The 11980-nt window shown below is 44.4% G+C and overlaps 3 annotated features.

Moving 5' to 3' along the window:
- Window positions 2338–3714: an enhancer, noted in NCBI's record as "VISTA enhancer hs73". NCBI's record gives its function as "enhancer in: neural tube[7/9]" and the evidence as "EXISTENCE:transgenic organism evidence [ECO:0001131][PMID:17130149]".
- Window positions 6022–6635: an enhancer, noted in NCBI's record as "H3K27ac-H3K4me1 hESC enhancer chr16:51573804-51574417 (GRCh37/hg19 assembly coordinates)". NCBI's record gives its function as "activates a minimal SCP1, AML or CMV promoter by ChIP-STARR-seq in primed H9 embryonic stem cells {active_cell/tissue: H9 hESC(primed)}" and the evidence as "EXISTENCE:reporter gene assay evidence [ECO:0000049][PMID:30033119]".
- Window positions 6636–7250: an enhancer, noted in NCBI's record as "H3K27ac-H3K4me1 hESC enhancer chr16:51573189-51573803 (GRCh37/hg19 assembly coordinates)". NCBI's record gives its function as "activates a minimal SCP1, AML or CMV promoter by ChIP-STARR-seq in primed H9 embryonic stem cells {active_cell/tissue: H9 hESC(primed)}" and the evidence as "EXISTENCE:reporter gene assay evidence [ECO:0000049][PMID:30033119]".

Raw genomic sequence — 11980 nt, 5'->3', positions numbered from 1 at the left:
GCCTCAAGCCTCTGTGGGAGCTCCCTGGTATAACTGGGATTCACTTGAATACCCAGTACTTGAGTGATTTGCTGAGGTCACAGCCTCTACCACCCCTGTGTGAAGAAGATGGGGCTGGGAAGCTCCTAACTGCATAAGTCAGACCCATCATAGTGGTTATTTACACTGGGGACTCACAACGTGGCTCTGGGGTCCTTAAGCTGATGTGGGAGAGGAGCTTGGCGCAACCAGCCACATGATACTGGGCTCCTTTCCATTCTGCCTATCAGATGGACCTGGGTCCTGGTGGGAGGTCTATCCCCATAGCAAATGGTTATCTTTAAACCCATCCTTCACCGTCTTATCAGTGGAGGAATGTGGAAAGATTGCAGGCATTAGCAGTGTAGGCATTTGGGATTTTGTGTGGGTGAGTGTGTGGGAATGGGAGGCTTATAGGCCTTCAACACATTCGCAAATCAAGTGAGTGTAATCTGCCCCAGCAGAGGTCCCTGAAAGAAAGCGTAACCTTCTCAGACTGCACAGATACTGTGAACAAGAACTAACATTTTCGAGTCCTTGCTTTGTGCAAATACTGTCTTAAGAGACTCACGTGAACAACCTCACTGAATCTTCACCCAACACTTTTTAGCCAGTAGTAACCAGGTACTGTCGTTACCCTTTTTTAACAGAAAAATGAGCCAGGAGGAATTGACACAGAAGCCTGAGGTCACACAGGTAGGTGGCAGATTATGGATCTGACAGGTGTATCCATGCTGTGGACAGCCTTGGTTTGAGCAGCAATAAGAGGGGGTACAAGGTGAAGTTGGAAATGGGTACAGAACGGTGACTCTCGCCAACTTTCCAGGACTTTAGTTAGTGGCTTTGCTATTGTATAGGCATCACACACATACACACAGACAGACACAAGACACACACACATTTCCAAATTTAAGTAGAAAACCCATTCCAAAACCAACTCTACAGAAGTGATTCTTTGATTCTCCCACTGTTTCAGATCATTGGCTCCAATATTTACTGTCTTTGGTGCATAAAATAGAGAAATTGAGATATAGCATTTGCTGTCAACCAAGGTTAAGGTATCATTCTCCAGCCCACTTTGGGTCCATGAGTTATATGTCATCTGCTTTCAAAGTTTCCCTTTCTTGCTAGAAAGGGAGTTATTGGAATAATCATCTAGAGCAGGTACAACCCCACCCCACCCCCAAGCTCATACGGGCTGGAAAGCCTTCTTTCCCACCACTCACCCTCCCCCACCACAGCTGCGGGGGCCTGGTCCTCTCTGCTTTATAGAGAAACGGAATTCCAAGGAGAACCTCTGCTGGTTTATTTTTAATTGTTGACCTCCAAGGCCTTCTGTTTGCATCTGTTTATTAAATTGCGAGCTCAGCTGTGAAATGCCCTTTATGGTGTTGTTTTATTGGTGGACCATTCAGGGACCCAGCGCCACACAAACAGGATAAATATTTTTCTTTGTAACACACACCCCACGTTGGGGGCCACAGAACAAGGGAAGCGAGGATCTCGTTTGTTTACGAGCTCCGATTCATTCATTACTTGGCGAGGAGCTGTGAAATGTAAACCTCACATTCCGAAGGACAATCGCAGGGCCAGCTTGAGCTCATTTGGAGGTGTGATGTTCCACTAAAAAGGAGGCTGTTAATTTTATTGACCAAATTTGGAAAGTGGGAGCTCCAAAATTAAATAGAGCCTTTGGAAAAAAAATGAACATTTAGGTTTCTGAAAGACCTAGAGAGTGGTTACATGGTCTCGTTTTTTGGTTTCCTTTCCCTATAGGAAATTTCAGACGCCAGTGCTGTTTAGAAAGCATGAAGTGAAATTGCTGTCCGCCTCATCTTCTAGTTTTAAAAGATTTTATTTCTCTATGAGAGGTTTGTTCGTATTAATTATAGCAACCTTTGTAGAGCATTTAGCACTCGGCTTTAAATATATACCATATCTAGTAATTCACACAGTTATTATCCAAAGCTCACTTCATTATTGACCTCGTATTATGGGTTGGAAAATGAAGCTCAATGCTGAGAAACTTTTGCCTGGAGCCCCACAGCTAGTGTGGACAGAGAGAAGACTGAAAACTAGGTCTGCCCTGACACGAGAACCTGGGTTCCTTAACCGCCCCACTCTTCTGCCTCTCTCTCTGCCGTTTTTTGTGTAACGAAAAATTTGACTTTCCCAGTGGTTCAGAGAGAACTAAAGTTTCCAACAGTTACTAAGCAGCCCCGGGCTGCAGATACCCCCTGCTTTGTTGCGCACAGAACAAAAAAAGTCTGACTTGCTGAAAGATTTCAAAAGCCACGCAGTGTCTTCACTGCCACTCTGCCCCCAACCATATAGTCACGCACAGGGTCCTCAAAGAAAAAAGACATTTAACTCCAAAAGTCTCCTTTGGGGTTCCCAGACCTCCATTTTACTCTCTTTATGCCTGGCATGAAAGAGTAAAATCAAACCCAGTGCGGCAGATTCATGCACTCAGTCTGAGATGGCACAGCTCATTCGGGACTTAAGGGGGGTGTTTACCGAAAGCTAACCTTGAACTGGGCCACAGAATAAGTGGGCCCATGTCAATATTTGGACTTTAAGAAGGCCTGGTTTATAACTGTTCAGAATTGTCTCTGAATTGGGCTTTGAATCACACATTTGCCATGTTCCTCCAAGGCCTTGTTCTTTTCTTAGGGGCAAAGGCTATTTGGGGAGATTTTCTTTAGAAGGGTTGCTGGGGGCAATGAAGAAAAAGCAGTGCAAATTCAGAATATCACAATGTGATATGGAAAAAAAATGTAAACCATGTTACAAAAGCTCTGTCATCAAGAAATGTTATTGTTGTTTGAATGGTAGGAACCATCTGGGTCTCTCTTAATGACCGGGGGCCCCTCTGTGCATGGGTACAGATGCTTCTTTTGTTATTGGTGCTATTTTGTAAATAGTTAAAATATTTACCAAGGCACCTCTGAGCTGGAGCTATCCCATTTTATTATTTATACCTTTTCAGAGGGACAAAAATGGAGGTGTCCACTAAACGTGATGGATTAGGCTTATAAACAGCCATTATGGCCGTCAAACCTCACATGTCAGCTCCCCCTTTGTGTCTGCGCATTTCTAAGCTAACCAGTGATCCATGCATAAGATAGAAGGTTAAGAATGCGCAGAGAAAAGGAGTGTTGACTCCAAGCAAGATGTATCTTCTGCTGATTAGAAATACAGCTGTAGAAAGTGAGGGGGACGCCAGGCAAGAGGCGAGAAAAAGGGACTTGTGTGTGCATGAGTGTATGCGTATGCATGTGTGTGTGTATGTGTGTGTGCGCGCGTGTGTGTGTTTGCAGGCAGAAGGGAGAGAACTGGGGAGGTGCAGAAGTCACTGCAACCTGACACGCTGCATTTCAGTTTTCACAATTTCAGGCTGAAAATCTGCAAGGCCTCTACCTGCCAGCATCCCTCAGCTGTTTCCTTAACTGACTGCAGCTGGTTTTTGTTTTCCCAAGATAAAAATCAGGAAATGCAAAAATTAAATAGGATTTGAGAAGAAAAAGGATGGGCCCTGGGTAAGAAGAAAAAGAGTGAGCCAGCAGTTACCAAGACTTGTTGACAGAGGGATATTCCATCTTGTCGTAATTAAGTTTTAAAAAATCTTAAAATAGGGTGAGGCGAGTGGCAACCCATGCGGCAGGTGATCCTGCGCAATGCCTAGGAGCTAAACTGGAGTGACTTATTCACAAAAGTGAGATTTGAAAATCCTAGATAAAGTTACATGGAAGGGAAAATGAGGTATTTTTAAATCAAACTACTTTATAATTCATAAAGGATGCATTGTAAATCCAATTAATGAAAGGAACCAAAGTAACTTGTCTTGCAGGTAAAGAGGTGAATGTAAATTATGTTTTTTGGCCATGATGGCTGCACATGTATTGGAAAAAGTTTCTGTCAAAAACTGGCTTCCATTATATTTTTACCCTTAAGTCCCAGCTCCTTTAATCTCTGAGAGTTTGTCTCTGATTTCCTGCCATGCCACAAACTCCAGCCTACAAATTCGTCCCTCACTCTCTCTCAAAGAGAAGCTGTGGAATTAAGAGGCAAAGGAGCTCATGCTTTTGAAAAGATCAGGCACGGAGTGGCTGAAATATCATCTAGCCACTCTAAATGTAGATTGGAATTTTAATTTTGGTAAAGTATTTCCTAGCCATCTCCTCTAAAAATCTAAATAAGAAATGATGACCTCATTTATGTATGTATTTATTTATATAGTTATTTATTCACTGTGGGACTTGGATCAAAACTTACTGATGTAACAATAGAAAATTATATTTATCTGCCGTTTTGCAAAGAAAGGAGAAAAGAACATTTGGAAAATACAAAGACCGAAGCAAACTTCCTCTTTTGACTCAGGGGGCTGTTCCATCCTAAAAGTCTGTCTTTGGGTCTCTGGTCACCTTTAAGCATCTCCTAGAGAAAGCCCCTCCTCTAGCCCCTCTGCCTTCAGGCTGGTGTCTGCCACATTAGTATGCTGGTGCACCAACTAATTTGCCTCTATAAATGCTGGGATCTGAATCACACCACTGTTGTGGCCAGAGACTAAATTTCTCTCATCACTCTCTTTGGAGGAAAAGAAAGAAAGAAAAAGAAACACACACACACACACACACACACACACACACACACACACGTTTTCTAAACAACATTCTTACTCAAGCTACACTCATTGACGTTATAAGCCCAGTGGATCACGATTTGGCTCATTAAGAAGCATGGTCTATGAAATGAACACTCAATAAATCTCCCATAAGACAGTAATTTTACTTTTTGTTCACAATTATAAGTAATAATAATAATTCTTATCAGCCCCCCCTCACATAACAAACACAAAAGCCTAACTAGGCTCACTTAATGGTTCCCTTGGCAAACTCTAAAAAGCAACCACAGGAGTATGCCTTATAGCTGATTCCTCCTCCACTTAATCGCTCCCATTCATGAATGAATTAGAATTTTCTGTAACTCAGAATATGTTAATTAAGCAAGAAGAACTTGGAAAGTTAAACTGTTATACCAAGCAGTTTGGGTAAACATTGTATATGTTTATACAAAAATGAACGGCATATATGTTGCCTATCACATAGTTCATAGGACCCTCAGATGTATAGAAGCCACTAATTGAATTGCTCCCATGGCCCCTGCTCTCCTAATAACACACACATACACACACACACACACACACACACAACTATATTGAAGCCTAAAAAAACCACAACACCTCCAGAAGGCATATTTTTCTGTCCTCTTAGCCATAGGCAGCTACTTTAAGAATGGCTGTCACTATTTTCATAAGAAACAGGGAAGACGTGAGTTCCCATTGACACCCCTTTCTCTTTCCGTCTGCTCTAAGGCTTTCAAATATTCCTGAGAAGAGCCTTTCTGTTTGTTTGTTTGTTTGTTTGGTTTGAGACAGGGTCTCACTCTGTCACCCAGGCTGGAGTACAGTGGCAGGATCATGGCTCACTGCAACCTTGACCGCCAGGGCTCAAGCAACCTCCAACCTCAGGCTCCTAAGTAGCTGGAACTACAGGCATGAACCACTATGCCACCACACACAGCTTATTTATTTATTTGTGTAGCTACAGGGTTTCACCATGTACCCCAGGCTGGTCTTGAACTTCTGGGCTCAAGCAATTCTCCCATCTCCGCCTCCCAAAGTGTTAGAGTTACAGATGTGAGCCTCCATGCCGGGTGAGAAGAGCCATTTCTAGAAGCCCATCTGGCCTGTGTCTACTTTAGGGATACTGGGCATCGGACCAAATCACCAGTTTAAAAAAAAAATCCTCAGATAGGATTGTAAGATTTTGTAAATAAAAATATGGGATGCCCCAGTTAAACTTGAATTTCAGGCAACCAAATAATTTGTTAGTATAATTGCATCCCCATATAATATTTGGTGTATACTTCTCTAACACCACTACCCTGAGAAAGCCCGAGCCTGGTGACTCCAGGAGAGTGACTCACCCTGGGCATCTTATTTCTTACTTTGTGATTTTAATTAACAAAGAAAGTGCTGAGTGAAACCACAGATGTCCAGGTTTCTCAATGAGACACAACAACTCTCTGAGGAAGGTGTCTCAATGTGGGGCAGGAAGGCAGAAGCAGACCATTAGAGGCTGCCCCCAGCAACAAACCAGAGCTCACACCTAGTCTCAAATGTTGCTCACAGCCCAAGGAGGTCGGACTTTTATTATCTCCATTTTATAGACAAGAAAACTGAGGCACAGTTTCCAAAGCCAGGCAGCTATAACACAGAGATTTTGCCCCAGAGAGTCTGGCTTGAGACTCTACACTTAAAATAAAAATAATACCAAGCCAGAACATTAACAATTTAATTTTCCAAAGGACCTAAACTGCACATGTATACTAAAATGGAAATGGTTGCAGCCTCATGGCCTGCACCCGCCGCTGCCTCTCCCACTGAGCTGTTAGTGCCTGGACCATGCTTGGCCAGCCCAGTGAGGAATCCAGTGCTGGAAACATGGTGGAGAGAAACATGCGTGAACCCCAGAGAGGAATGGGACAATGCGGGGGGGTACCCTGTTATGCCCCCACCAGAGTCCTGCCCCCGACCCACCTCATTTCTCCCAACCTACAGGGGCAGAGAGCAATGAAAAATATTGAGAATGCAGGCTTAAATGAGGAACTCTGGCAAAAAAATCCTTTTCTCTAATTTAAAGACCACCCAGGTGTGTGCTGGTCTGTCCCCATTTTAGGGTCTTTGCCTCTTGCTTTTCAGCAAGAAAAGAAACAGATGTGATCCCCATTCATCCCTAATGGAGACAGAAGGGGAGGGAGGACCTGGGCAGTGTGGGGAGCTCGGGGCTGTCTCTGGCCTGGAAATTCTGTCTTGTAGGAGGGGGACAGTAACTTCCACAGCGTTTAAGCCTGCCTGTATTTGTCACCTGTCAGCTCAAAGTCCAGCACATAGTATGCAATCAATACACATATGTTCAATCTCTTTAAAATTAAATAATGCAATCAAAAGTCTTGGTGGTGCCCAGGGCATGGGCTGGTGACTGGCCTGGCCTTGGGACTTGGAGCCTGACCACAGGAGTCTCACTTGGTTGGAGTCACCAGTTGATGGGTTGGGGGTGGGGTGCTGGCTTCCCCTCACTCCCACCCTGGACTGGGTCAGCTCAGAGTGTCCTGGACAATTATCCCCAAAGGGGAAAAAAAGTCCTGTTCAACAAATCCTCAACTTTTGTCTCCTCTGGGGCTGCAGACCGTGGTACCTCTTATTCAGCCCTCCCTCTCCCCCATCCTGTGCCTGGGACGTTCTGTGGTTATGAGTCAATGATCAGACAGGAAAAGGGCACGCTTACTATAGGGGAGGAGGATTCAGCAGGGCTCTGGGCTTTGATGCCGGTTCTCTTACATCCTGAATGCATGAAAGGCTATGGGAGGGAGAGGAAGAAATATAAAAGCAGAAAGGAAGAAAATGTTATTAAAAAAAAAGTTGAAGGGGAAAAGAAGTGCCTGGTTTGAAATGTTGTTAAGTATCATCGACAAATATCTCCAGGAGACAAAAGCTAGTTAAAAACTGAGTTGAGATAAGCCATCTCCTTCAGTGACTCATCTTCCTAGGGAATAATGGCAAAGAGGCGGTGTTTAGGAGAGAACTGATGTGCAAATAGCAGTGTCCCTGAAGCTGGGGTTAATTACAGGAAGGACTTCCAGGGTAGTTGTTGATACATAGCACTGGCAGCAGAGCCTTGCATCACAGGCTAGGAAGGCAGCTCTCCGCCATTTGAATAGGGTCCCCAAACACTGTCCCAGAGGCAGGGGCCTGGGTGGCTCCCCAAATGCGTTCTTCAGAGAAGCCTCATGCCCAGGCCATGTTGCTTTGTGGGCTGACCCGGCATCCCTACCACCCTAGTCCAAGAACGCTCCCACTCAGTCCAGCCCCTGAAAATGTATCTGTAAATAAACCAGAAATAAAATGTTGTTTGCCATGCTGTTGGAAATTAAAAACTTCAGTCCAAGGATTGGCAAGCAGCACCTCCAAACCATCAGCTAAGTCAAGTCTGGCTGTGGAAAATGGAGATTATTGTCTCAGAGAAACCATTTTTGTACCAGGATACACCTCAAGCAGCTTTGCCTTGCACCATGCCCCACCTCCCAACTTTTTTTTTTTTTTTAGATGGAGTCTTGCTCTGTTGCCAGGCTGGAGTGCGGTGGTGCAATCTCGGCTCACTGCAACCTCTGCCTCCTGGGTTCAAGTGATTCTCCTGCCTCAGCCTCCTGAGTAGCTGGGACTACAGGTGCACGCCACCACACCCAGCTAATTTTTTGTATTTTCAGTAGAAACAGGGTTTCACCATGTTGGCCAGGCTGGTCTCGATCTCTTGGCCTTGTGATCCACCCGCCTCAACCTCCCAAAGGGCTGGGATTACAGGCGTGAGCCACCATGCCTGGCCACATCATGCCCCCTTTAAGAGATGAAATAATGCAGTATATCCATATAGGCAAGGACAACTTGTGATAATTGAGCCCAGAAACGTACCCCATCCTGGGCAGGTTTGCAATGGGGACAGGATACCTGAATTAGAAGGAGGAGTCTGGGAAGCACTGAGAACTGTCCATTGAAAGGAAGAAGAAGCCTACATAAAAAAGCACGCACCAGCCAGCTCCCTATGCAGTGGCTCTCTGATACGCACTGATAAAATTTCAGAGGATGCTGAAAGAGCTCAGCCTCCTCTGCTCCTCCTCAGAAAGATAAGGGTGGGGGCTTTTTCCAACTCTCCACAAGCATCTTTTGACAATTCCGCAAAGGCAGTTCTTCAGTGAGGGGCATAAAGCAGATTCTGAGATCAAAGGGCTGCCGCTGGTAAAAACAGAGAGAAGGTGCAGGGAAAATGGCCCGAGGGCTAAGATCAGCCACCAACCTCCTGATCCAGGCCTCAGTTTCCCCACCTATGAAATGATGGGATAATCAAGATGATGTCTCAGCCCTCACATCTGATTTTCTGAAACTTGGGAACTCCTCAAACAGGTAATCTGACCCCGAGGGCAGGAAATCTATTTCACAGTCCCCTTTCTCTCTCCTACCACCTTAAATAATGCCTTTACCATTAGTAAGAACTTAATAAATAAATATTTTGAATGGATCCATGCATGTGTGATCTGTGGCTCTTTCTTTGTCTTTTAAAATAAAAGATTTTTGGGCCAGTATTTGGGGAGGTGGTACTTCTCTTTCTTTCAGTCTTATAGAGTTGCTTCCAAAGACGAAATAAGAATAAATGACTGTAACAGCTAATATTTTTTGTGCTCAAGCACATTGCATACTTATTCTAATTATATCTCAAAATATTCCTGTGTGGAGTGGTTGCTATCATTCTCATGCCACAGGTGAGGAAATGAAGACTCAGAAAGACTAAGGAATGAGGCATTCCAGTGTGTCAGCCCTAGCTCCTTTTGACGAAGAGTCCTTGTGTTTAAGCATCTTCCTTGACTGCAGGGAGTTTTGCTGTGACCCTACCACTGGCTTGCTGAGTGCCCTTGGGTAAGTCAGTGTCCCTACCCAGTTAAAAAGTGCCCCCTTGGCTGGGCGTGGTGGCTCACACCTGTAGTCCAGTACTTTGGGAGGCTGAGGTGGGCAGATCACTAGGTCAGGAGTTCAAGACCAGCCTGGCCAACATGGTGAAACCCCGTCTCTACTAAAAATACAAAAATCAGCTGAGCATGGTGGTGGGCACTTGTAATCCCAGCTGCTCAGGAGGCTGAGGCAGGAGAATCATTTGAGCCCAGGAGGCAGAGGTTGCAGTGAGCTGAAATCATGCCATTGCACTCCAGCCTGGGTGACACAGCAAGACTCTGTCTCAAAAAAAAAAAAAAAGAAAAAAAAGTGCCTCTCTTGAGCTAGTGGTTATCCCTGCTTCCTTCCCAGACTGGCATTTCAGACTTCTTTGTTCAGCACACAGTTATCAGCTCAAATGGGCCCTCCTTAGGAAACTCTTCAATTCTGCCATGCCCTATCTACTTCCCAGTAAGGCAAACCCTTATTGTGGACTGTCCTTTTCACTTCTCTGTCTGCATATTTATGTGAGCATTAAATTCATGGTCCTCTTTTCCACTACACTGCAAGCCTCCCAATCGCTCATGTCTGTCTTGTTCATCACTGTATTCCATCCCTGGAAATTTATCCCCAGACAGGGGCCTGCCATGAAGCCAATGCTCAAAAAATATTTGCCAAACCTTTGCAGAGGCCTCCAATGACTGTGAAATGCACAGACCAGGGAGGGTCAGTTTCCAAGCCATGAGGAGATACATAACCCTAACTCCTTAGAGCAGCAAACTAAGAATGCCTGGCGCCTTAGAAGAGGATGTTGACAGTTAAAAACAAGGCAAAACCAAATCACCTTGGAATCTCTTGCTTAGGAAGAGATGAGCAATATTTGTCTAGTGGGGAGCGAGTTCTCCTGCAGATATTCCCCAAGCATGGTGATGGGAGAGCTGCTCAGCTTGTCTTTTTTTACACAGGCTGAGATGCAGGTGGAACTTGGAAGTGTCTGGTATCAAAATGCTGCTTGGGTAATTGAGCTACCCAAGCCTGTCTGGCAAGGAGGGGGATGCCATTCGGGATGTACACCATCCCCCAGGAACAGATCGTAGCAACCAAGCATGCCCCGAGGAGGGGGGTGCCTTTCTGGTTGTACACAAGAGCCAATAATAAAACACAATGAAGAGGCCTCCCTCCCAGCTGGTTGTGCACGCCCCATTCAGTTGGCTGGGATGGCCGTCTCCCTTTTAAGCGGACTCTCTTCCCCCTCGCCGCCTCCTCCTTGCTTGGTCCTCTAGTCACATACCAGACACGTCTCACAGAGCAGACCCGAAACTCCAGGTGGCAGAATCACAGTTTCATATAAATTAGGCGGGGTAATGCTGTTCAGACACATTTTTTTGTCTAAATCATGCAAAAATAGAACTTTCTCAGGGGCATAAATCTGGCCCAAATCTAAACCTGAATGTGCAATTGACTGGTATAGTTTATAGTACAAACATGGAATTATCTGGAAGTCTTCTGCTTCCAAAGACCATAGCCCATTTTTTATCCAATCTGAAAGAAATGATTTATTTGCCATCTTTAAAAAATGCAAAAGTTGGTGCATGGCAAAGGGACCAGATGCAAGCCGTGATTCAACAGAAAAATGTGTCCTGCCCCAAGCAGACATATACATCGCTCAGTGCGATGTAACATGAATCCCACAACTATATACCAAGGGCACAGAAGTTTGGGCATTTAGCTTCTTTAAGGTAGATGCCTGCTCCGTTTTTCAAAATGGGAAAGAAAGGCAAAGAGAGGAAAAAAGTTGAAGACATTGAATAAGAAAAAGAAACAAAAAATAGCTTCACAACACAGTCAACAAAGAACCCAACACCGTCTAAATAATTGCCCATTAGGTATTATATATTACATATTATTATATATATATTGTGTATTATAAGAGCATTGTTTTGCTGAAATCAGTGGAAGACAGTTTCTTCAACACTTTATTTTTTCACTTATCCCTATCCCTTTACTTTCAAAGTCATTGAGTCAATATGATGACCTTAAAATTTTAATTCTAGGGTGGAGAGAATTGTCTTAGTTCTCATGAATTTTAAGTCATGATTTGGGAGTGTGAGCACCCACATTGAAGGACAGTCACCACTGATCGATACCTTTTCCCACCACTCTGTGGGATGGCCTTGGGAAATTTAAAATGACAGAAAAAAGTGGTAATATCCTCTCTCACAAGTTGTTTAAATTATCCTGGCACTTTGCCATCAAACTAATTTCATGCAATTCACAGTGACTTCAAAGAGTGCAGAAGAACAACCTGAGGGCTGCGTTTCTGAAAAAAAAATATGTCAGCAGTAAGGAGGTGGCAGAAATGTTTCCTTAGGTAGAAAGAAAAGAAATGGCAATAGCCAAGCCCTAATGTTTGCCAGAAGG

Source organism: Homo sapiens, chromosome 16, assembly GCF_000001405.40.
Source record: "Homo sapiens chromosome 16, GRCh38.p14 Primary Assembly".
NCBI classification, from domain to species: domain Eukaryota; kingdom Metazoa; phylum Chordata; class Mammalia; order Primates; family Hominidae; genus Homo; species Homo sapiens.
This window is presented reverse-complemented; position numbering and strand designations above follow the sequence as displayed.